Genomic DNA, 26,700 nt, shown 5'->3' on the forward strand with positions numbered 1-26,700 from the left:
ACAGGTCAGTGATTTATCAATATAGGTCATCATTTGGTGATTAAAAATAGGTGACTTTATGCTTGTAATCCTAACACTTTGGGAGGTAGAGGCAGGAGGATCACTTGAGTTTAGAAGTTCAAGACCAGCCTGGGCAACATAGTGAGACCCTGTTTCTACAAAAAAATCAAAAAATTAGGCGCGATGGCATACACCTGTCTTCCCAGCTACTCTGGAGGCTGAGGTGAGAGGATCACTTGAGCCCAGGAGATTGAGGCTGCAGTGAGCTGTGATCACTCCAGCCTGGGTAACAGAGCAAGACCCACCCCCCCTTTATATATGTATGTATGTGTGTGTGTGTGTGTGTGTGTGTGTGTGTGTGTGTGGTGTGTGTGTGTATGCGGAATCTTCTTATCACCACCTCTACTGTTGTCTTTCCAGCTACTTACTGTAGTAGGTTTCTACCTTGGACCCTTGTTCCACCCTGGACATACATGGTACCCAACAATGTGTTCTCAGCACTGCAGCCAGTGTGATCTTTTTGCACTCCTTTGCTCAGAATCCTCCAAAGGCCTCTCATTGTACTCTGAGAAAAAGTTCAAGTCCTTGCAGTGTCCTGCAAGGCCCTTCATGATCTACCCCACCTTCCCATCCCTGCCCTTACTTCTCTAGCCTCATCTAGGGCTTCCTTGGTGTTCTCAGACATGCCAGGCGTGCTCCTCTACAGGTTTTTACACTGGCTGTTCTCTCTTCCTGGTATGCTCTTCTCCCAGAAATGCACATGACTGATACGCTCACCTTCCAGTCTTTGTTTAAATGTCACCTTCTCAATGAAGCCTACCTTTACCACCTTTTTAAAACCTGAAGTCGGCCACCATTCCCATTATTCCTTATTTCCCTTACCTGTTTTACTTTTTTTGCCCCTATAGTATGTATTACCTTCTAACATTCTATCTAATTTACACTAGAATATAAGCCACAGAAGGGCAGGAATCATGGTCTCTTGTTTCGCAGCATATGCCAAGCATCTGGAACAATGCTTAGCACATACTAGGCCTCTCGTTAAATATTTGTCTAATAATCATAGTTCTCTTTCTCCAGGACCCAAATGCCTTGATTGTTTTTCACTCAATTTGCTTATCCAAGCAGACAGCAGGATAAGACAGGGAAAAGTAGGCTGATGATTGGGGTCTAGGGTCTAGCCTGGGGGCCACACTTTTTGTTTGTGTGACCATGGGCTAATTATAGTTGGGCTGGGTTTGTGAAAGTTTATTAAGCTATATACTTATGATATATACATTTTTTGTATGTATATGTAAATTTTTTTTTCTTTTTTTTTTTTTTTTTAAGACAGAATCTCACTGTGTTGCCCAGGCTGGAGTGCAGTGGCGCAATCTCGGCTCACTGCAAGCTCCGCCTCCCGGGTTCAGGCCATTCTCCTACCTCAGCCTCTCATGTAGCTGGGACTACAGGCGCCCGCCACCACGCCCGGCTAATTTTTTATATTTTTAGTAGAGACGGGGGTTTCACCGTGTTAGCCAGGATGGTCTAGATCTCCTGACCTCGTGATCCGCCCACCTCGGCCTCCCAAAGTGCTGGGATTACAGGCGTGAGCCACCGCGCCTGGCCGTGTATGTAAATTTTTTAAGTTTTCTGTAATAAGACTCTGAAAATAACTGCTAGTAACACTATGGGGAATATCTTCACATGTTTTATCTCTACATGTAGACTTTTGAGAATAAAATTGAGATTCTACATGCTTTTTCACAAAACCATACATCATGAATATTTTTCATAACATGAAATATTCTTCTGGAGCATGATTTTTAATGGTTATGCAAGTACTTTGAAAAGAATAAGACATTGGTCATGTACGGTGACTCACTCCTGTAATCCCAGCACTTTGGGAGGCCAAGGCAGATGGATAGCTTGAGCCCGGGAGTTCAAGACCAGCCTGAGCAACATGGCAAAACCCCATTTCCACAAAAAATACAAAAATTAGCCGGGCATGGTGGCATGCACCTGTAGTCCCAACTACTTGGGAGACTGAGGTGGGAGAATCACCAGAGCCTGGGAGGTCAAGGCTGCAGTGAGCTGTGATTGTGCCACTGCACTCCAGTCTGGGCAATACAGCAAGACCCTGTCTCAAAAAAAAAATAAAAACAAAAAGAATAAGACATCATGCAGTGAACTATGGAAATATAATTCTTCCTTTTTTAAGAAGTTGAAATTTTGTTTTAAGGGGTTTTGATTTCTTCCTTTTTCCTATAGGAGACATGGTCTCAAAGTACCGAGAACCTTTGATCCATACCTTCCTGAGGGGAGTGAGAGATCCTGATGGTGCTCACAGGGCCAGCAGCTTGGCCAACCTTGGGGAGCTGTGCCAGAGGCTGGACTTTCTGCTGGGCTCCGTGGTCCATGAGGTACTGTATTTTGATTCCTTTCTCTAAAGCGTGTTTTCACTTGGACCTACGATGCATCTTGAGATTGGGAGTCAGGAGACCTGGGCTCTTTTTGCAGATCTGCCACTGCCTCCCTGTGAGACAGGGCAAGTGAGCCATTGAACTTCCCAAGGCTTCATCTGTCTCACATGTATATTGAAAGTTATGTTAGTAAGGGCCGGGCATGGTGGCTTGCACCTGTAATCCCAGCACTTTGGGAGGGCGAGGCGGGTAGATTGCTTGCGGCCAGGAGTCTGAAACCAGCCTGGTCAACATGGCGTAACCCTATCTCTACTAAAAATACAAAAATCAGCTGGGCGTGGTGGTACATGCCTATAATCCCGGCTACTCAGGAGGCTGAGGCAGGAGAATCACTTGAACCCAGGAGGCATAGGTTGCAGTAAGCCAAGATCACGCCACTGCACTCCAGCCTGGGCAACACAGCGAGATTCTGTCTCAAAAAAAACAAAAACAAAAAATTATGTTAGTAAGAATTTCATAGTTGCAGCTGAGAGAAAGTCATCTTAACCTACCTTAAGCAATAAAAGATGATTTATCATAGAGTCTGATGTAACTAACAGAATTGGAGAAACCTTTAGGAAAAGTAGATAGAGCTTTACCCTGAGTCTCTGGGCCATCTGTGAGTCTTATCTCCTCCACTCACAGAAAAATCTCAGGCAAATACTCTAATTGACCCTCTTTGGCCGAGGCACCCTGTATTCAGGGGGATGGTGTTGTTTACCAAAAAAAAACGCTTAAGTTCCATATTTTGCTCAGCATTTCATACCCAGTGCCTGGTATGTAGTAGGTAATCAGTAAATTATTGAAAAGATGAATGGTGAACCATCAAAATGATAGCCATACAACGTGTTGGGGCCAGAAGCTTTTCTGGTTTTAGAGTTTTTTATTATTATTATTATTATTATTTGAAACAGAGTTTCACTCTGTCACCCAGGCTGGAGTGCAGTGGCGCAATCGTGGCTCACTGCAACCTCCGCCTCCTGGGTTCAAGCAGTTCTCCTGCCTCAGCCTCCCATGTAGCTGGGACCATGTGTCACCACACCTGGCCAATTTTTGTATTTTTAGTATAGACAGAGTTTCACCATGTTGGCCAGGTTGGTCTCGAACTCCTGACCTCAGGTGATCCACCTGCCTCAGCCTCCCAAAGTGTTAGGATTACAGGCGTGAGCCACCACACCTGAACTCAGAGTTTATTAATTAATGAAATGTGCGTCTTGCCCCTGGCCTCTATGAGTGTCTTTCTCTAGCCCCCTTTTTTTTTTTTTTGAGACAGAGTCTCGCTCTGTAGCCCAGGCTGGAGTGCAGTGGCACGATCTCGGCTTACTGCAACCTCCGCCTCCCGGGTCCCAGTTCAAGCAGTTCTCCTCAGCCTCCCGAGTAGCTGGGATTACAGGCGCATGCCACTATGCCCAGCTAATTTTTGTGTTTTTAGTAGAGACGGGGTTTCACCATGTTGGCCAGACTGGTCTTGAACTCCTGCCTTTGTGATCTGCTCGCCTCGGCCTCCCAAAGTGCTGGGATTACAGGCATGAGCCACCCCTCCTGGCCCCTCTAGCCTCTTAAATTGTACCTTTGCCTTGTATTTATGTACTCATCAATATATCAGTGTATATCTTGAGTATCTGCTGTGTGCACCTACTCTGCTATTTACAGATGATGATAGACAGAAAAAGACTAGTTAACATGTGGCCAGGAGTCTTTACTACCAATGTACATGACCATCTTAAGTTTTTTTTTGGAAGAAGATGCCTTATAAATTATAAATAAGTAAGTGAAATACAGTTTAAATTACCTTTTTTTTTATTCAAATGGAGTCTCTAACTCTGTCGCCCAGGCTGGAGTGCGGTGGTGCAGTCTCGGCACACTGCAACCTCCACCTTCCAGGTTCAAGCGATTCTCCCGCATTAGCCTCTTGAGTAGCTAGGATTACAGGCGTGTGCCACCACGCCTGGTTAAGTTTTGTATTTTTAGTAGAGACAGTGTTTCATCATGTTGGCCAGGCTGGTCTTGAATTCCCAGACTCAAGTGATCCTCCTGCCTCGGCCTCCCAAAGTGCTGGTGATGTTGGATTTTTCTTCTCAGTCACTTTGCAAGCCAGGGACCTCTGGCTGGGAATGCCCGACCCTGGCCTCACTTGGCCATGCTGGCGTGCCCCAGCTCACCTGTGTTATAGCTTGTACCACATTCAGCAGTTCCCAAGCTCTTATACCGCACCCAAGATAAATGAGGATACACTGGACATTGAAGGGTGAGGAGGGCAGAGAATAATTTTATTGAGCAATGAAACGGCTCTCAGCAGAGAAGGGAGCTGGAGAGAGGACATGAAGGGCAGGGTGTCTTCCTCAAACTCAGGTTGTCTCTTCCCTGAAGTCAACCCATTTCCCCCTCTACTGACTGAGTCTGGGGTCTTCATAGGCACAAGTTGCATGCTGATTGGTTTGTGAGTATGCAAAAAAGGTTAAAACAAGGCACCACTCAAAGGCGGGCCCCACAGTATAGAAAACCAATTAGGAAATGGTAGGCATATGTAAAATAGGTGAAGGGTGGGGACCAATCAGAGGAAAGTGTGCCAAACAGGAAGACAAGTTTTCAATCCAGTCTGAGAATTTAACTTGTAGCTTAGCTTTCGGGCTTTAAACTGCCTTCAGCTTGGAGGTAAGTTTGCACTGGGTACCTGCCCCTATCTGCGTAGGCATTTGGCTGCCTCCTGTAGATATCACTGGGATTATAGGCATCAGCCATTGCACCTGGCCTTTTTTTTTTTTTTCCACTTTAAGCAAAAACTCTTTATTTTTAAGACAAGGTATGATTTCTAATTTTCTATTCTTGGCATAAATTTTAATTCTTTCTAGTGGAACCAAAGCCTCCTGAACCCCTTTCAGTGTCATCCAAATCTTAAACTTCTTCTATTTCTAGTTAAAAAAAAATGTAGTTCACAAATGAGCTATGCAATTTGATCACCTTTCTTGACTTCAAACTTTTTCTTTTTTTTTTTTTTCTTGAGACAGAGTTTCACTCTGTTGCCCAGGCTGGAGTACAGTGGCACGATCTCAGCTCACTGCAACCTCCGCCTCCCGGGTTCAAGTAATCCTCTTGCCTCAGCCTCCCAAGTAGCTGGGACTACAGGCGCCCATCACCACACCCAGCTAATTTTTGTATTTTTAGTAGAGACAGGGTTTCACCATGTTGGCCAGGCTGGTCTAAACTCCTAACCTCAAGTGATCCGCGCACCTCAGCCTCCCAAAGTGCTGGGATTACAGGCATGAGCCACCACGCCCCACTGACTTCAAACTTTTTTTTTGCCAAAATTAAACATTATACCATCAACATTTACGCTATAATCTTTCTCTCTGACACGAGTTCCTACATCTAGAAAGTGTTTTGCAGCCAAACCAGACCATGGAGCCACTCTTCCATAACATCCAGAAGGAAGGGCTATCTGAGTGTCCATTTTCACAAAAGCTTTCTCTGTATGTGGTATTGTGTCATCATAGGCACTGTACAGGTCATAGCTCGCAGCCTGCATGGACCCCTGGGTTGAGGCCATGGGATGTTCAGAGAGCCAGGCAAAGCGAGCTGCATGATGCCCTCCTCTGTAGGCTAGGCCTGCTAGCTGGGGGAAATGGCAGATGTCTTATCAAAGCAGGGCATGGCAGAGTGAGAAGGTGAGTAGAGGAGAGGATCAAATCTGTTTGTTTGTTTGTTTGTTTGTGGTGGAGTCTTGCTCTGTCACCTAGGCTGGAGTGCAGTGGCGTGATCTTGACTCACTGCAGCCTCCACCTCCCAGGTTCCAGGGATGAGAGGATCAAATCTGAAGAATGACCTACTGAGGGGGAATTTTCCCTTCTTTTTTTTATTTTTTGAGATGGAGTCTCGCTTTGTTCCCTATGCTGTAGTGCAGTGGTGCAATCTCAGCTCACTGCAACCTCCACCTCCTGGGTTCAAGTGATTCCCCTGTCTTAGCCTCCTGAGTAGCTGGGATTACAGGTATGAGCCACCATGCCCAGCTAATTTTTGTATTTTTAGTAGAGATGGCATTTCGCCATGTTGGCCAGCTGGCCTCGAACTCCTGACCTCAAGTGATCTGCGTGCCTCGGCCTCCCGAAGTGCTGGGATTACAGGCATGAGCCACCGCGCCCGGGCCTGAGAGGGAATTTTTTTCAATGTTTGGCAGTTGTGTCATATCAATAAGCAGAGAAGCACACTCACAGATGTATGCATACACTTGAATTTATGGTATTTCCTGATTCTTGAGCTTCATATATTTTGCTTTATTTGGTTATAAGGGCTACTCTTTTCATTAAATTTCAACCTAGGATTTTCAGGAAAGTTACATATATATCAGTTATTTCCTTCCCTTTAACTGTTCTCTGAGGGATCACCAGGGACAGCCTGTTCCTCAGTTTTTGTATCTTCTTTTTTTTTTAGTAACTTAGAAACAATAACTTTAAGTACCTACTTAAAACCCAAGTGTTCTAATATATGTGAACCGTTAGGCATCTCATCCTGTTTTAGATGGATTTAGCAAATATCTTGTTCTTTAGTATTATTAAATTGTAACCTTAAGAGAAGGCTTTTATGGGTCTATTTGGTTATATTGTCTGAAGATTTCAGACTAGTGTAACTTTTCTGGGTCAGATACTGAAATGATTCCCACATTTTTTTTTCTCTATTTTCTTGGTCTCTTCACATAACCCAAACCAAACTGAACTGTAAACTGTGTACTAAAACAAGTTGCTGGTCCATGATCTGAACCAAACCCAATTTTTTTTTTTTTTTTGAGACGAATTCTTGCTCTGTCGCCCAGACTGGAGTACAATGGCGTGATCTCGGATCACTGCAACCTCCGCCTCCCAGGTTCGAGCAATTCTCCTGCTACAGCCTCCCAGGTAGCTGGGATTACAGGCGCCTGCCACCACACCCGACTAATATTTGTAATTTTTTTTCTTTTTTTGTTTTTTGAGACAGAGTCTCACTGTTGCCCAGGCTGGAGTGCAGTGGCACGATCTCTGCTCACTGCAACCTCCACCTGCCGGGTTCAAGTGATTCTCCTGCCTCAGCCTCCCCAGTAGCTGGGATTACAGGCATCTGCCACCATGCCTGGGTAATTTTTGTGTTTTTAGTAGAGATGGGGTTTCACCATCTTGGCTAGGCTGGTCTTGAACTCTTCACCTCAGGTGATCCATCCGCTTCGGGCCTCCCAAAGTGCTGGGATTATAGGCGTGAGCCACCGCTCCCGGCCCTCCAAATATTATTATTTTTAAATAATGGCTTTACTGAGATACACTTCACACACTATACAATTCACCCATTTAAAGTGCACAATTCAGGCCAGGTGCAGAGGCCCACGCCTATAATCTCAGCACTTTGGGAGGCCAAGGCAGGCAGATCACCTGAGGTCGGGAGTTCAAGACCAACCTGGCCAACATGGTGAAACCCCCTCTCTACCAAAAATACAAAATAAATTAGCCAGGCGTGGTGGCACATGCCTGTAATCCCAGCTACTTAGGAGGCTGTGGCAGGAGAATCGCTTGAACACGGGAGGCGGAGTTTGCAGTGAGCTAAAACTGCGCCACTACACTCTAGTCTGGGTGACAGCGCGAGACTTTGTCTCAAAAAAAACTAAAAATTAAAAAAAAATAAAGTGTACAACTCAATGGTTTTTAGTATATAAAGAGTTATTGGTACAATCACACACACTTTTTTTTTTTATTTTTAGAGATGGGGTCTTGCTGTGTTGTCCAGGCTGGTCTCGAACTCCTGGGCTGAAGTGATCCACCTGCCTCAGCCTTCTGAGTAGCTGGGACTATAGGCACACACCACCATGCCCAGTTTAACAAAAAAAAAAAAAAAAAAGAAAAAGAAAAACTACATAGCCATGCATTTCAGAAAAATTTTCCCCAGATCTCCAAGTGGACCAGCTGAGACTTGATGGGATCTATATGTTTTCTAAAACTAATGAACCTGAACAATACCTGAATATCATGACCTCTGAACTCAAACATTGAGACTGTATTTATTTTTGAATCCCTAGACTGTTCTTTTTCTCTCTCCTAAGGAAATTGTAGCATGCTAGCAGCATATGATTTACTATCCAAAGTGTTAAGAGAAATTTCTTGGTTTTGGTTGATTAGAAAGATTGAGCTAAAGCAGATTTTGTAACATTCAAGAAGCATCATCTGTCAGGAGACCCACCCAGCCTGTTGAAAGATAACAAAACTGCCAGGTACACTTGGGAATGGGAATGAATGAGAGCCCAGCTACACCATCTGTTTACTTGCATTCACTTGAGCAAATGACTTTGGGCTCAGTTTCTTGATCTAGAAAATGGGATTAAAATACCTGCAATCAAGATTGTTACAAGACGTATATGTTTGATACAATGATTTATTCAACAGTTTTTATTGAGTGCCTACTACATGCCAAGCAGTATTCCGGACACCTAAGACATATCACTCTTCAAAATACACAGTGATTTCAATCTTCATTCCATTCTAGAGAGAGTAGACAGATAATAAATGTTATGTATAATCAATAAGTAAAGTATCTAGTATATTAGACAATGATAAGTGCTATGGAAAAAAAGAAAAAGTAGAGGAAGGGAAACTGATCAGGATTATAGTCTTAGGCGGTGGGGCCGTTGCAGTGCTAAACAGGGTATCAGGTGAGTCTCACTGAGGAGGTGACATTCTAGTAAAGACATTTTATTTTTCTATATTAAGATTTTTCTTAAGGAACATCTTGGTCATTTGAAGGGGGCTGATGATGACAGTGATGAGGATGAGCATCAAGGAAATAAGAAGAACAGGCCGGGTGTGGTGGCTCACACCTGTAATCCCAGCACTTTGGGAGGCCAAGGTGGGTGGATCACCTAAGGTCAGGAGTTCGAGACCAGCCTGGCCAACATGGTTAAACCCCATCTCTACTAAAATTATAAAAATTAGCTGAGAGTAGTAACAGGCACCTGTAGTCCCAGCTGCTCAGGAGGCTGAGGCAGGAGAATTGCATGAACCTAGCAGGCAGAGGTTGCAGTGAGCCAAGATCATGCCACCGCACCCCAGCCTGGGCGACAGAGCGAGACTCTGACTCAAAAAAAAAAAAAAAAAAAAGGGAAATAAGAAGAACAGAGTGATCAGTGTCCTTCAGCTGTCCCCAGCCATATGTTTTCAAAACAACTGCCGTGTTAGGGGCTGAGGATACAAAACCCTGTCAGATACCACCCTGCCTTCTGGGCATGGGTAATCTGGTGGACACAGACATCAGTGATTACAATTACAGTCCACTAGGATGGGTGCTATGGGAGCACCTTTGAGGAGTCCCTTGGTCAAGTTCGGGTATTGGCAAAGATGTCCTGGAGGAAGAAATCCTTGGAACTGAATCCAGAGAACAAGTAGAAATTAAGCAGGTAAAAAAAGGCAGAGGTGAGCATTTCAGCAGAGGGAGCAGCTGTGCAAAGGGCGTGAGATGGCCTGACATGTTTAGGAAGGTTCCAAATGCTGGAGTAAAGGGGTGGGGGGTTAGTGGTGGCAGAAGCTAAGGCAAGAAAGTGCAGGTAGGGGCCACATCATGAAAGGCCATGTTACTTTATAGCCTCCTGGCTCACAGCAAGAATCAAGCATTGCTTATTTAGCCTTTGGAAATGAAGTGCAAATAGGTAGTAGGTTGTTTGCCTACCATGGGTGCTGACACAAAGAAAAGCATCGTTTGTGACCCTAGGACCTCCTTTATGTTTCAACCTTAAAACAGGTGAGGGCCGGGCGCGGTGGCTCACGCCTGTAATCCCAGCACTTTAGGAGGCGGAGGTGGGCAGATCACGAGGTCAAGAGATCGAGACCATCCTGGCCAACATGGTGAAACCCCGTCTCTACTAAAAAAAAAAATACAAAAATTAGCTGGGCATGGTGGTGCACGCCTGTAGTCCCAGCTACTCAGGAAGCTGAGGCAGGAGAATTGCTTGAACCCCGGAGGTGGAGGTTGCAGTGAACCAATATCGCACCACTACACTCCAGCCTGGCAACAGAGCAAGACTCGATCTCAAAAAATAAAATTAAATTAAATTTTAAAAATTTAAAAATTTTTTTTAAAAAAACTGAGATGAGGAGCTGCTGCTTTGGGGCACCTTCCTGGCAAACCTCTTGTCCAGTGATCCTGCCCCACTTCTAGAGACCTGGACTGTTTCTACAGAATCAATCCCAGGAATGTTCATGGTCATTAGCAAATTGTGAGCACAACAAGGGCAGAACCCATCTTGATTCATCTTGTCATACCCCCAATACCTATCACAGTGCTTGGCACATAGTGGATGCTAGGTGTTGGCTGATTAATACAATATTGAATGAAGAGCAGAGAAGGATGGTTGGGAAGGCTAGTTCCTATGTGTTTCAATAATAGTCATAGCAAGGCTGGGCACGGTGGCTCAGACCTGTAATCTCAACACTTTGGGAGGCTGAGGTGAACAGATCACTTGAGGAAAGGAGTTCAAGACCAGCCTGGGCAACATGGTTAAATCCCATCTCTACCAAAAAGTACAAAAATTAGCCAGGTGTGGTGGCACACGCTACTCGGGATAAATTTAGTAAGATAAGGGGCCCAAAGGGAGTTTGCTGTTGTCTCAGATGGACGGGAAAAGCTTTCCTGACTAGTGACTTTTTTTTTTTGATACAGAGTTTTGCTCTGTCGCCCAGGCTGGAGTGCAGTGGTGCGATCTCAGCTCACTGCAACCTCCACCTCCCGGGTTCAAGCAATTCTCTTGCCTCAGCCTCCCAAGTAGCTGGGACTACAGGTGTGTGCCACCACACCCAGCTAATTTTTTTTGTATTGTTTTAGTAGAGATGGGGTTTCACCATGTTGCCTAGGCTGGTCTCAAACTCCTGAGTTCATGCAACCTGCCCGCCTCAGCCTGCCAAAGTGCTGGGATTACAGGAATGAGTCACTCCGCCCAGCTGACAAGTGACCTTTGAGCAAAGATATAAGGAAGCAAGGGGTTGATCCAGAAACCTAGGGAGGGAGCATTCCAGGTGGAGGGAGATGTGAGTGCAGAGGCCCTGCGACAGGTGCAGGCTTCACGTGCTGGAGAACAGTAAGGCCAGTGTGGCTTCAGAGAAGAACAGGAGTTGGCACCAGAAAGGCAGTGGCCAGTCCCAGTGGAGCCTTGTGTGGACTTTGGCTTTCCCTGTGAATGAGATGGGAAGCCAGGGCGGAAGAATGAAATGATCTAACTTCATTCGTTCATTCATTCATTCATTTATTCATTCATTCATTTATGGAGACAGAGCCTCGCGCTGTCGCCCAGGCTGTAGTACAGTGGCACAATCTCAACTCACTGCAACCTCTGCTTCCTGGGTTCAAGCAATTCTCTTGCCTCAGCCTCTCAAGTAGCTGGGACTACAGGCATGTGCCACCATGCCCAGCTAATTTTTTTCTATTTTTAGTAGAGGCAGGATTTCACCATGTTGCTCAGGCTGGTCTCAAACTCCTGAGTTCAGGCAACCCACCCGCCTCAGCCTCCCAAAGTGCTAGGATTACAGGTATGAGCCACAATGTCCAGCCGATCTAACTTCTTTTAAAAAGTTACTGTTGGCCGGGCATGGTGGCTCACACCTGTAATCCCAGCCCTTTGGGAGGCCAAGGTGGGTGGATCACGAAGTCAGGAGTTCAAGACCAGCCTAGCCAAGATGGTGAAACCCCGTCTCTACTAAAAATACAAAAAATTAGTTGGGCATGGTGGCAGGCGCCTGTAATCCCCACTACTGGGGAGGCTGAGGCAGAGAACTGCTTGAACCCGGAGGCTGAGGTTGCAGTGGGCCAAGATCACACCACTGTACTCCAGCCTGGGCAACAGAACAAGACTCCATCTCAAAAAAAAAAAAAAAAGAAAGTTACTGTTGGCAGGCGTGGTGGCTCATGCCTGTAATCTCACCACTTTGGAAGGCCAAGGCAGGCAGATCACCCAAGGTCAGGAGTTCGAGACCAGCCTGGTCAACATGGTGAAACCCCATCTCCACTAAAAATACAAAAATTAGCCCCGTGTGGTGGCAGGCACCTGTAATCCCAGCTACTCGGGAGGCTGAGGTAGGAGAATCACTTGAACCCAGGAGGCGGAGGTTGCAGTGAGCTGAGATCACACCACTGTACTCCAGCCTGGGCAACAGAGAGAGACTCTGTCTCAAAAATAAGTAAATAAAATAAAAAGTTACTGTGGCTTCTTCTAGGACAGTTCTTTCAGTGTACCATGAAAGCTCTTGAAGTCTCAGAATTGCTTAGTTCCAGGGTGTGCTGGTGGAGAAGGAACTTGAGCTTTGGGAAACTTGTCTTTGCGAACAGAAGGAATTCTCCTTCGTGAGCATCTGTTATCTGGCAAGTATGCTAGAAGACACAAATAAAGGACCCAATCTCTTCCCTTAAGGAAGTCTCAGTAACTTGTGTGAAACGCAGAGGAGTAAATCAACAGTGGATAGGAGTGACACGATAGAGCCAGCACCAAGCTCTGGGGGACCCAGAGCTGGGACCCTGGGTTAACTTGTCAGGGCATCAAGAAGGTTATGTTGATCAAGTGTTAGCCAGGCAGAGGAAGAGAAGAAGCATAATCTATTTTGAGATAAAATTGAACAGCTTCCTTTCTGAGAAATCACCAAACTGGAGGATAACGCCAATGTGGCGGGAGGTCCTGGAGGCCCTGGGGACCCTAAATGGAAAACTGCCATGGCTTCCTCAGAGGCTTTGGTAGCAGCATGCAGGACTGGGCTCGCAGCCATGGTCAAGGCTAGAGCTGAGGCTGTGGAACTCACAGAGACATGACTGAGGACAAGGAGTGGATACCCATCACCAAGCTGGTCCCTCTGGTCAAGGATATGAAGATCAAGTCCCTGGAGACCTATCTCTTCTCCCTGCCCATCGAGGAGTGTGATATCATTAGCTTTTTTCAAGGGGCATCTCTCATGGGTGAGGTTTTAAAGATTATGCTTGTGTAGAAACAGACCCACACTGGCCACCGCACCAGATTCAAGGCATTTGTTACTGTTAGGGACTATGATGGCCACATCAGTTTAAGTGTTAAGTGCTCCAAGGAGGTTACTACTGCCATCCAAGGGACCATCACCCTGGCCAAGCTTTCCATTGTCCCTATGCGGAGAGGTTACTGGGGGAACAAGATCGGCAAGTCCTACACCACCCCCTGTATGGTTACAGGCTGCTGTAGCTCTGGGCTAGTACACCTTATCCCTGCCCCCAGGAACAATGGCATCATCTCGACTCCTGTGCCCAAGATGCTGCTGCTGATGGCCGGTATTGACAACTGCTACACCTCAGCCAGGGGCTGCACTGCCACCCTGGACAACTTCACCAAGGCCACCTTCAATGCCATCTCCAGGACCTATAGCTGCCTGACCCCCAGCCTCTGGAAAGAGACTATTCACCAAGCCTCCCTGTGGAATGCACTGACCATCACATCAAGACCCACACCAGAGCCTCCATGCAGAGGACCCAGGCTCCAGCTGTGGTTACAGCATAAGCTTTCATACAAGAATAATAGTGAATTACACCTGTTAAAAATAATAAGCAGAAGAAAATGAAATTGAACAAACCAGCCACCGTAGTCCCTTCTAAAGCGACGTGGTCTGCGGGCATCAGTGCCCTTCCTCTCTGGCTATAGCTCTTCGGCATCTGAAGAAAGTTATCCTAACTATTGGGTGATCCAGATTTGGGCACTGTCTGCTATGATGATGCCAGCTGGTCGGGAAGGAATATAAAGTATAGGCTCAACCCTTCCACAGTCACTGTACTGGGAATTCAGGCTTTTCCTCTCTGTTGATGTCAAGAATTAACCTGTAGATAACATTCTTTTTTTTTTCTTTTTTTTTTTTTTCAATTTTTCCTTGTTCTTGTCAAAGGCTGTGTCGCTTAAAACCAAATCTTGATAGATTCTTCATCTTTATCACTCTCTATGAGAAGTAAATATGATTTAAGTGAACCACAGTGAGAGGCCTGTCCTCACTACAGCAAATAAGATGTGTCCCAGGTGACAAGTCCAGTCTCCTTTTAACATGGTGCCCAGAATTCCACATACCTGAGCTTTGGGGGCTGATACAAAGCCACTGCCTCTGATCCCACGGAATGACCTGAATTTACTATCAGTTTTGCCACAATCAGTGCAGTTTGAGGATACGTAGACCCCTGAGATGAGGCCTGAGATAGATGTTCTGGGAAACCCCAAGGAAGCTAAAGTACCTGCCATGGTTTCTTTCATGGCAGGTTGAGTAAGCCAAGCTCCTGAGAATGATTGGTCACATTGTCTTTGCTGTTAAGGTTTCTTGGTTTACAGATGGTGAAGTTGCAGACAAGTTAGCAAACCAACTGAATTTTAATAAAGGAAGCTTTAGGAAAATGGATGAAGATGCAGTTGGAAAATTAAAGTCATGCTTCCTTGATACATACCTCAATTCTGGCAACTTCTCACTTGGAATTTTCCAAAGTCAGTTTTTGGTAATCTTGCCATTTGTATTATCTTTATTTATATAGTTCTGGTTATGCTTGGTGTGTGCCAGCTGTTTTGGGAGTGATGTTTTTCCTTATTTCTCTTGGCTCCTGTTAAGTGTTAAATTGCTGAAACTGACCTTTAATGCTTCCAAAGCAATCAGCATCTTTCTCTCTGGATGGCTTTTAGAAGTGGACACAGTTTACTGATTTAGCCAGTGAAGAGAAAGCTTTCCATAGTGTGGTTTACTCAGAGCAGGTGACAAAAGGATGAATTTCTGGCTGGGCCCAGTGGCTCACGCCTATAATCCCAGCACTTTAGGAGGCCAAGGTGGGCAATCATTTGAGGTCAGGAGTTTGAGACCAGCCTGGCCAACATGGCAAAACCCTATCTCTACTAAAAATACAAAAATTAACCAGGTGTGGTGACAGGCACATGTAGCTACTCAGGAGGCTGAGACAAGAATCACTTGAACCCGGGAGGCAAAGGTTGCGGTAAGCTGCGAGCATGCCACTGTACTCCAGCCTGAGCTACAGAGCAAGACTCTGCCTCAAAAAAAAAAAAAAAAAAAAGAATGGATTTCTGCCCTCTGAGAGGACTTAGAGTATAGAAATAATACACCAGTTCATCATCTATCTATCTCACCAAGGCTTTTAGAGGTAGAACTCAGTGTTCATTATGTCGTTGGGGTTGGAGGTGAGAGACTAGCCGTGAAGTGACTTTTCCAGCCTGGATACATAGAAGAGAGTGGCCTACATCCTCCCCACTTCTAGTGTTGGACAAGGGGTCTGTCCCATTGGTCTGCTGGAGAGCAGCATTACAAGCTGGTTATGGGTGCTTGACCTGAACTGAAGACTGTTCTTATATTTAGATGATATCCGTAAGACCATATTAAAATTCCGATGCTCAGAAAGCATTTTGCGTGACAGACCATTATACATTTCACATGATTTGGTCCTGGTGACAGAGGGGTTGAGGAAGTTTCCCAAATGCTCTTCTGTTCTCGGGCCTCTTCCTGATTGTCCTGGATGGCTGACTGCAGATGGGTTTGGTGGAGTCTGGCGCATAAGTCACTAACAGCCCGTAGCAAGCAGGAGGCTATTTCAGCTGATCTCAGCAAGGCTTGTCATAACTAGCTCCTCTCTCAGTCATACCTTCAAGGTGGCACAGGGATTCAAGAATTGGCCTTGACCGGGGTGCAGTAGTTCATGCCTGGAATCCCAGCACTTTGGGAAGCCGAGGCAGGCGAATCACTTGAGTCCAGGAGTTTGAGACCAGCCTGGGCAACATGGCAAAACTCCATCTCTACAAAAACTACACAAATTAGCTATGCGTAGTGGTACACGCCTGTAGTCCCAGCTACTCCGGAGGCCGAGGTGGGAGGAGTGCCAGAGCCTGGGAGGTGAAGGCTGCAGTGAGCTGAGATCATGCCACTGCATTCCAGCCTGGGTGACACAGTGAGACTTTGTCTCACAGAAAAAAAAAAGAAAAAGAAGAAGGCTGGGCATGGTGGTGCATGCCTATAGTCCCAGCTACTAGGGAGGCTGAGGTGGGAGGATTGCTTGAGCCCTGGAAGCAGAGGTTGCTGTGAGCTGAGATCGTGCTACTGCACTCCAGCCTGGGCAACAGAGTGAGAGTCCATCTCAAAAAAAAAAAAAAAAAAAAAGAATTGCCCTTGAAGGGAAAGCCCTTTTCCAGGCAGGATGCTTCTGCCTGGACATCCCAGCTGTGGGATTAATGCACAAATGCCCAACTGTGAGAGCCAGCCTTACACTGAGAGCTGAGGTGGAAGCATGACCCGCTCAGCAAAGAGAGGCAGGACAGAGGTGACAAAGGCAGACACCAACATGGTTCTAGGCCAGGGAGCCTTGGTCTTCCAAACGTGGAAGCAGGGGCCCAAAGCTAAACGTAGAGGGGAGCAAACATAATGCCTAAGACCCTCTGCTCGGTCCATGGCCTTGGGCTGGCTTCCATAATTTAGCCATCAGACCAAATAAATTTTACTTCCCTGTGTCAAGAGGGACTCAGACCTATCTCTAACTTGTTTCTCTGGTTTCAGCTCTTACCTTGTAAATACTAAGCCTGAAAGTGGAGGTAGCTATTATATTGTTGCCTATTTGGAGGTTGCCCAAGGAATTCCTCTTAGGACTGAATTGCTTCTACTGTTAATGCCACAGGCATGGAAGCCACTGCTGGCCTTAGGGTGGGGGGTCCCAGGTCAAAGGCAGAGCAGCTTGCTGGGTCTTACTGAAAACAGCCCCCAAAGGGTTGGACTCCTCTGGGATTTTCCTTCACTTGCAAGCTGCATGTTTGTCTGATAGATGCACAAGTTGATTAAATGCCAGCGCATCACAGACGCAATTATGCTTAAGAACAAGCTAGTTCTTCTAATCTCTCTGCCATCACTGATTAATTAGATACTTTGAACTATGCCCAACTGTTTGAAAGCTGTGAAAAATACAACCTGTATAGTTAAAATTTCTGCACAAGCCTATTTCCTCACTTGTTCTCATATTCACCATTCTTTAAACATGATTTGTATTTGTACGTGTTTCTAAACACAGTCTGGCTATTTTCCTATCATAATTAGATATCCTTCCACTACTGGCCAAGAAATATATTCACACAGTAAGTCCAATAACAAAAGTATGTGAGAGGCCAGGTGCGGTGGCTCATGTCTGTAATCCCAGCACTTTGGGAGGCCGAGGCAGGCAGATCACCTGGGTCAGGAGTTTGAGACCAGCCTGGCCAACACGGTGAAACCCTGCCTCTACCAAAAAATACAAAAAATTAACCGGGCATGGTGACACGCGCCTGTAGTCCTACCCACTCAGGAGACTGAGGCACCAGAATCGCTTGAACCCGGGAGGCAGAGGTTGCAGTGAGCCAAGATTGTACCACTGCACTCCAGCCTGGATGACAGAGCGAGATCCTGTTTCAAAAAAAAAAAAAGTATATGAGAGACCAGTTGAATAAGTTAGACATACCTTCAGATTGTTGCTGCCATTGGTCACACTTTCAAAAATTTTTTTTTCTCTTTTTAAAGCTTACATGAATGCCTCAGAAAGGTTTGTTGTCATTCTTGTTAATTGTATCTCTTCATTGAGATTTTAAAACATTTTTCTGCCTACCAGGAGCCAGGCAAGGGTACAGTGGCTGTTACATTCAACTGTTTGATTTTATGACATAATTAACTATATATCAGTTTTGCAAGTAATTTCCAGTCTTTCTTTCCTGTGTTAGTATGGTCTTTTAAAGTAATTGAGCGCTGGCCAGGCACAGTAACTCATGCCTGTAATCCCAGCACTTTGGGAGGTGGACGCGGGCAGATCACCTGAAGTCAGGAGTTTGAGACCAACCTGGCCAACATAGCGAAACTCCATCTCTACTAAAAATACAAAAATTTAGGTGGGCCAGGCTCAGTGGCTCACACCTATAATCCCAGCACTTTGGGAGGCCGAGGTGGGCAGATCACAATGTCAGGAGATTGAGACCATCCTGGCTAACACGGTGAAAAACCCCTTCTCTACTAAAAATACAAAAAATTAGCCAGGTGTGGTGGCGGATGCCTGTAGTCCCAGCTACTCGGGAGGTTGAGGCAGGAGAATGGCGTGAACCCGGGAAGCGGAGCTTGCTGTGAGCCAAGATCGCGCCACTGCACTCCAGCCTGGGCGACAGAGTGAGACTCCATCTCAAAAAAAAAAATTAGGCATGGTTGTGTGCACCTGTAGTCCCAGCTACTCAGGAGAATCACTTGAACCTAGGAGGCAGAGGTTGCAGTGAGCTGACATTGCACCACTGCACTCCAGCCTGGGCAACAGAGCGAGACTCCGTCTCAAAAAAAAAAAAAAAAAGTGAGCACAGGCTGGACACGGTGGCTCATACCTGTAATCCTAGCACCTTGGGAGGCCAAGGCAGGAGGATTGCATAAGCCCAGGGGTTCAAGACCAGCTGGGCAACATGGTAAAACCCTCATCTCTACAAAAAATAATCAAATTAGCCAGGCATGGTGGCGCACACCTGTAGTCCTAGCTACTTGGGAGGCTGAGGTGGGAGGGTCACTTGTGCCCAGGAGGTCAAGGCTGCAGTGAGCCCTGATTGCACCACTGCACTCCAGCCTGGGTGACAGAGTGAGACCCTGTCTCAAACAAAACAAAACAAAACAGAAAAAATACGTAAAGTAATTGAGCACAGAAAGTCCTATTCCATATTCAGGAAGTCTCTGAAAGTGACCCCTGCTGACTCACATCCGGTGTACACTACATTTGTAGGACTGGAATATCTGGACATGCTGAAGAAGATCAGTTAGAATATTTCTGTAACTCTTTATTCCCTAGGCTGAAACTTTCATCAATGGTACATTCACATTCATGCCAGGCTGTGAACTCTGAAGTCTCCTTAGCTAAATCCCCATGATCCTCAGTCTCTAGAAGCAGCTATGGTTGGGACCATCTTTTTTCCTTTGATTTGATGTTCTTAAAGGGGGACAATTAACAGTTCTCACTTTTGTGGAAATATTAGCATTTGACCTTACCTTTTACAAAATGCATATAATATACAGTACACATATTCCTTCCCACTCTCTAATCTCGTTCTTGAATTCCAAACTGGATTTTGCCCTCTACCAGAAAAGTCAGACTGCATCAAGATCTCTCCCACTAGATCTCACCCTCTTTGTTGAGGATTAAGCAACTATCCAGCCCTCTCTAAGCCAGATTGCTCTTGATGAATGTGTAGTAAGTGGAACACAGTTGAAAGGTTATAGGTAATTGTGCAACTCTGATTCTTATCAACTTCATCTTCCTTCATCCTCCTAGGTAACAGCTTGCCTGATTGCTGTGGCCAAAACAGATGGTGAAGTTCAAGTACGCAGAGCTGCCATACATGTGGTTGTGCTGCTGCTTCGGGGACTCAGCCAGAAAGCTACTGAGGTCAGTCCGTCTCTCGCCCTTTGCAATTTCTCCACCTCTTTTATTTGTCTATTTCTCAATCTTCCTTTTACCAGGGAAGGCCTCAAACCTCTTTCCTCGATGGATTCATCCAAATGAATCCATCAACAGGGATTTTGTAGCAGGAAAATGACCTTGTTTGTATCTTCGGTGTATGTCTCTATTACCTCAGTAACATATTGGCCAAACTATATACTAAGAAAAACCAGAGCACAAGGTTGTAGATTGAGGCCCTGAATCCTGGCATTGTCCTCATTGTTCCAAGGTGAGCTAGCTAGAACACATTCACCCTGCCTCTGCACCCTGAACTTCAGTGACTTGCCTTTCTGACTCATTTGATTGTTCATGCTGAATTACTAAAGGGCCTCATTGAAGATGTTTCCTTTCTAGCTGAGTTCAATCTATGACATGTTAGGTGCTGCATAAATTAAATTTTCTTCCTCCTTCAAGTGGGTTTGGCTGGATTTCTCCCCAGCGTATGGCCAATACAGGAAGAAAGTATATATTTACATATATATATATATAAAAAACCATATGTGTGCTGAGAATGAGCGACCTCTAAATTAATTTTCGTCTTGATTTTAATGGAAACACATTCCCAGTTGACTTCCTATGGAAAATTTGCATTAATAATTCACCACCCAGTATCCACAATGCTCATCTGTGGCTAACACATCAGTATTTAACCAAGTGTCAGTGAAGCCATTATAAAAGTGACTGTTTTAGGCCAGGCTCGGTGGCTCATGCCTGTAATCCCAGCACTTTAGGAGGCCGAGGCAGGCGGATCACCTGAGGTCAGGAGTTCGAGACCAGCCTGACCAACATGGAGAAACCCCATCTCTACTAAAAATACAAAATTAGCCAGGTGTGGTGGCGCATGCCTGTAATCCCATCTACTCGGGAGGCTGAGACAGGAGAATTGCTTGAACCCGGGAGGCGGAGGTTGCAGTGAGCCGAGATCTTGCCATTACACTCCAGCCTGGGCAACAAGAGTGAAATTCTGTCTCAAAAAAAAAAAAAAAGTGATTGTTTTATCACACACACACATACATGGGCTTTATTCATCCTAGAATGTTACCATATGGAGTTTCTGATGCCATTTTTGTACAGGCAGGGACTCAGTAGTTATCCCATTCCTTTCCTACACAGCCACCTTTTCTCTTTACGTAGTGACTTGCTGTTGTTGCACCTCACTAGCGAGGCCATTGGATTTCCCAGTGCTTTGGGAATAGTGCTTTACCCTCGGCTGCATTTCTCCCCCTTCTCCTCCACCTTGTATAGGTTGAGGTTTGGATTGAATGAACTTATCTGCTATGAGCATGTTCAACTACAAATTAGAAAAACTTCAACTACAATGTCCTAAACAAGTAAGGATTTTTCTCACATCACAAGAAATATGTAAGTAGGTGGTGTCTGTTTAGCAGCTCAGTATCAACAGGACCAACATTTCTATAATCTTTGTGGCCTTTGCCTCATGGCTACAAGATAGCTGCTGCAGCTCTGGCCATTGTGAATGATTTAAATGAGAAAGAAAGAAGATAAGAGAAGGACAGCCCTAGGTGCTTTTTGTTTCTTATTTTGGGGAACTAGGACAGTTTCCCAGAACCCCCCAGGAGAATTCCTATTTCATTGGCCAGAACTGTGTCAAACAATTGTTTCTAGCTGCAAAGGAGCCTGACAATGTATTTAGTTGGCACATTGCTACTCTGAATGAAATTGAATTTTAGTCAGCAAGGAAGATGGCAGGAAATGGATATTAGGGTGGCAACTAATAGTGACACAAAGGAATATGGGGAAGATCTGGCTGACTCATAAAAACTTCTGTAGCCGGGCGGGGTGGCTCACACCTGTAATCCCAGCACTTTGGGAGGCTGAGGCGGGTGGATCACCTGAGGTCGGGAATTCGAGATCAGCCTGGCCAACATGGTGAAACCCCGTCTCTACTAAAAATACAAAAATTAGCCAGGCGTGGTGGCAGGCACCTGTAATCCAGGCTACTTGGGAGACTGAAGCAGGAGAATCACTTGAACCTGGGAGGCAGAAGTTGTAGTGAGCCAGGATTGCACCACTGCACTCCAGCCTAGGTGACAGAGTGAGTCTCCTTCTCAAAAAACAAACAAAAAACTTCTGTAGGGACAGACTTGCTCATTAACTTGGAGCACTCACCTGGAAGGATGGAGGCTCCAGGGTTTTACTTAGGACCTTGATGGGGATGGGGGACATATAGATCATAGCTCAGTAATTTGTATAATTAAATAAATTGCTATAGGGACAATAATACACATTGCTCTTATTGAGAATCCACTGTATGAGAGGGAGTTAAGAAGAATCAGTGTTTTTCATCCATTGTTAAGATCTACAAAACTCTTGGCAAAGATGTTGTTAAGTAAGTTGTTAACAGTAGGGGAATGGAGGGGTATACAGGGACTTTGTACTATCTTTGCAACTTTTGTGTAAATCTAAAATTATTTCAAAGCAAAAATGTATTTGAAAATACAAGTTGGTCGGGTGCAGTGGCTCACCGCCTGTAATCCCAGCACTTTGGGAGGCTGAGGTGTGTGGATCACTTGAGCCCAAGAGTTCGAGAGAAGCCTGGCCTACCTGGCAAAACTCTGTTTCTACTAAAAATACAAAAAAGTAGCCAGGTGTGGTGGCATCTGCCTGTAATCCCAGCTAGTCGGGAGGCTGAGGCAGGAGAATCACTTGAACCGGGGAGGCGGAGGTTGCAGTGAGCCAAGATCGCGCCACTGCACTTCAGTCTGGGCGACAGAGAGAGACTCTGTAAGTGCACACACCCTTACTGAGTGAGAGAGTGAAAGTGAGAGCGAGCGAGAGACAGAGCGAGTGTGTGTGTGTGTGTGTGTGTGTGTGTGTGTGTGTGTGTAGCAGAGGAAAATGTCTGGTTAGCAAAGTCAGAGAAGAAATAGAAACTCTATCCAGATTTCTCACATCTGTGCCTAGCCAATGAAACCAACACCGCTTGTCTCACCAGTACTAAAATAATTTGTGGCCATGGAAGATTTTTGTCACTTTCAAAACCCATGTGAATGAAAAACCTCCGCCTGTTCTCCAAACTGTCTCTAGTCTGCACTCACTGAAACTTATAAGTTGTGCTTAGTGAATAAAGAAAAGGAAATGGGAAGGGATGAACAGATGATTCCTCTTCCTGGTACATCCTTGAGACCAGGTGTGTTAAATCTTGTAATCGTAGGTGTGATTATAATCAGGGGCACTTTAATGAGAAGTGGAGATAACCACAAAGCTTTCAATCTGGAATTTCTCTTTATGGCTCTGTTTTGCCCCCAGGAACAGCTGAAGTGAAAATGCCACACTGTTGATGAAGTTCTGTGTTTTTCCCCCTTCTAATCACCATCTCCCAAGCTATAGAGTGCCAAAAGATAATACCAGGTTTCAGTGAATTCTCTGTTGCTTGTGGATGCGTCAGCCAAGGGCCTCTGTGGTTGTGGCAGCTGGAAAAGGAGGTAGGGGTTCAGGAGATAGCATGGGATCAGAGAGGGGAAACATCAACGCCCCTAACTCATGAGGCAGTTTTTACCTCTTTCCCATTTGAATGTAGCCAGAGTTTTGTGCAGCCAACACAATATCCACATTGGAGGGAAATACTGCATTCACTTTCTTTTTTGAGACAGAGTCTCACTCTGGTGCCCAGGCTGGAGTGCAGTGGCATGATCTCGGCTTACTGCAACCTCCACCTCCCGGGTTCAAGCAATTCTCATGCTTCGGCCTCCCGAGTAGCTAGGATTACAGATTTGCACCATCACGCTCAGCTAATTTTTGTATTTTTAGTAGAGACAGGGTTTCACAATATTGGCCAAGTTGGTCTCGAACTCGTGACCTCAACTGAGCCACTGTGCCTGGCCCTGCATTCACTTTGTTATTGAAAAACTTATTTTTGCCGGGTGCGGTGACTCACGCCTGTAATCCCAGCAGTTTGGTGGGCTACCTGAAATCCCTGGAGAGGGATTAGAAGCAGGCCAGTTCTGATGGGGAGTTCATGCTTAGAGGAGAGGTGATGCACACGATAAGTTCCATTTGCTTGTTTTAACCTAGGGACAAGTATACTTGGCAAGGCATGCGATATAGTAGGGGCACTGGCAGAGAGATCACAGCTTTTCTGGCCTGAGGAACCAGGAGATTGAGTGTGGGGAAGCCACAGAAGAGAGGCAATTTGGAAGGGAAAGATCCAAAGAGAAGATTCCCCAGTTCTCTCTGCCTACTTTTTAGGCTAACCCCTGAACCAAGCAAGGTAGTTGCCTGCTTCAAAAACAAAAACAAAGCAGGGTGTGTTGGCACATGCCCGTAGTCTCAGATACTTAAGAGGCTGAGGCACGAGATTGCTTGAGCTCAGGAGTTCAAGACCAGCCAGGGCTACGTAAGCAAGACCTTATCTGAAAAAGAAAAAAAATTTTAAAAGGCTGGGCGCAGTGCCTCATGCCTATAATCCCAGCACTTTGTTTGGGAGGCCAAGGTGGGCAAATCACCTGAGGTCAGGAGTTCGAGACCAGCCTGACCAACATAGTGAAACCCTGTCTTTACTAAAAATACAAAAGAATTAGGTGGATTTGGTGGCACACTTGTAATCCCAGTTCGGGAGGCCAAGACAGGAGAATTGTTTGAACCGGGAGGCAAAGGTTACAGTGAGCTGAGATTGTGCCACTGCACTCCAGCCTGGGCGACAGAGGGAGACTCTTGTCTCAAAAAAAAAAAAAAAAAGCTGGGCGCGGCGACTCACACCTATAATCCCAGCACTTTGGGAGGCCGAGGCGGGCGGATCATGAGGTCAGAAGATAGAGACCATCCTGGCTAACATGGTGAAACCCCGTCTCTACTAAAATTAGCCGGGTGTGGTGGCGGGTGCCTGTAGTCCTAGCTACTCGGGAGGCTGAGGCAGGAGAATGGCGTGAACCTGGGAGGCAGAGCTTGCAGTGAGCCAAGATCGAGCCACTGCACTCCAGCCTGGGTGACTGAGCGAGACTCCATCTCAAAAAAAAAAAAAAAAAAGGCTGGGTGCAGTGACTTATGCCTGTAATCCCAGCGCTTTGGAAGGCCAAGGCGGGCGGATCACGAGTTCAGGAGTTTGAGACCAACCTGGCCAACATAGTGAAACCCCCTCTCTACTAAAAATACAAAAAATTAGCTGGGTGTGGTGGTAGGCGCCTGTAATCCCAGCTACTCAGAAGGCTGAGGCAGGAGAATCGCTTGAACCTGGGAGGCAGAGGTTGCAGTGAGCTGAGACCGTGCCACTGCACTCCAGCCTGGACAACAGAGCAAGACTCCATCTCAAAAGAAAAATAAACATAAAAATAAATAAAAAATTAAATTAGGCCGGGCGTGGTGGCTCATGCTTGTAATCCCAGCACTTTGGGAGGCTGAGGCGGGTGGATCACGAGGTCAGGAATTCAAGACCAGCCTGGCCAACATAGTGAAACCCCATCTCTACTAAAAATACAAAAATTAGCCGGGCGTGGTGTCACGCATCTGTAATCCCAGCTACTCAGGAGGCTGAGGCAGGAGAATTGCTTGACCCTAAGAGGCAGAGGTTACAGTGAGCCGAGATCATGCCACTGCACTCCAGTCTGGGTGATAGAGCGAGACTCCAACTCAAAAAAAAAAAAAAAAAAATTAAAATTAAAGAAAAAACCAATAGACCACTCATTGGAGAACAGGATTCAGAGTCAAAATAACTTAACATTCATAATGTCCAGGATACAACTCATGTATACAACCCAATATAAATACAACCCAATATAAGTTACTCAATATATGAAAAACCAGGAAAATGGAACATGTTCCCCAGAGAGAAGAAAATCAACTAAGACGAACCTCAAGGTAATCCTGATGTTAGAATTATCAGAAAAGGATTTTTTTTTTTTTTTTAGATGGAGTTTTACTCTTGTTGCCCAGGCTGGAGTGCAGTGGCACGATCTCGGCTCACTGCAACGTCTGCCTACCTATTCAAGCGATTCTTCCACCTTAGCCTCCCTAGTAGCTGGGATTACAGGTATGTGCCACCACACGTGGCTAATTTTGTATTTTTAGTAGACAGGTTTTCACCATGTTGGTCAGGCTGGTCTCAAACTCCTGACCTCAGGTGATCTGCCCGCCTCAGCCTCCTTGCCAAAGTGCTGGGATTACAGGCATGAGCCACCGCACCTGGCCAGAAAAGGATTTTAAAGCAAATATTATAATTATCCTCAATGAAGTAGAGGAGAAATATTTCTGCAAAGATGGGAAATCTCAGAAAAGAAATAGAAATGATTTTAAAAGGGCCAAATGGAAGTCCTAGAACTAAAAACTACAGTGACTTAAAAAAAAATCACTAAATGGAATTAACCAAGAAAAGAATAAGTGAATTGAAAGATGGAGTACTAGAAATTATATAATGTGAAGAACAGAGAGGAAAAAGAAAAAGATTTAAAATATGAGTGATTTTAGGCCAGGCGTGGTGGCTCACGCCTGTAATCCCAGCACTTTGTTTGGGAGGCTGAGATGGGTGGATCACCTGAGGTCGGGAGTTCGAGACCAGCCTGACCAACATGGTGAAACCCTGTCTTTACTAAAAATACAAAGATTAGCTGGGCGTGGTGGTCCGTGCCTATAATCCCAGCTTCTCAAGAGGCTGAGGTAGGAGAATCACTTGAACCCAGGAGGTGGAGGCTGCAGTGAGCCGAGATTGTGCAACTGCACTCCAGCCTGGGCAACAGAGTGAGACTCTGTCTCAAAAAAAAAAAAAAAAAGAGTGATTTTAGGCTGGGCGCGGTGTCTCACAACTATAATCCCAGCACTTTGTTTGGGAGGCCAAGGTGGACAGATCACC

General features: G+C 45.6%; 1 protein-coding gene and 2 pseudogenes across 4 annotated transcripts in view; 2 read left to right on the top strand and 1 right to left on the bottom strand.

Moving 5' to 3' along the window:
* Nucleotides 1–26,700, top strand: part of TANGO6 (transport and golgi organization 6 homolog) — a 241,652-nt gene that overhangs the window by 177,047 nt on the left and 37,905 nt on the right. For 3 of the 4 annotated variants that reach the window (NM_024562.2, XM_047434633.1, XM_047434634.1), the window contains 2 exons: nt 2,251–2,402; nt 19,731–19,844. In NM_024562.2, coding sequence (NP_078838.1) covers nt 2,251–2,402; nt 19,731–19,844 — 266 coding nt within the window. Of the gene's footprint in view, nt 1–2,250; nt 2,403–19,730; nt 19,845–26,700 lie in introns of those variants that run through there. The other variant, XM_047434632.1, reaches the window with a different exon arrangement.
* On the bottom strand, nt 5,280–6,092 carry LOC101060098 (deoxyuridine 5'-triphosphate nucleotidohydrolase, mitochondrial-like; annotated as a pseudogene).
* On the top strand, nt 13,053–13,984 carry RPS2P45 (ribosomal protein S2 pseudogene 45; annotated as a pseudogene).

Source organism: Homo sapiens, chromosome 16, assembly GCF_000001405.40.
Source record: "Homo sapiens chromosome 16, GRCh38.p14 Primary Assembly".
In the NCBI taxonomy this organism is placed as follows: Eukaryota; Metazoa; Chordata; class Mammalia; order Primates; family Hominidae; genus Homo; species Homo sapiens.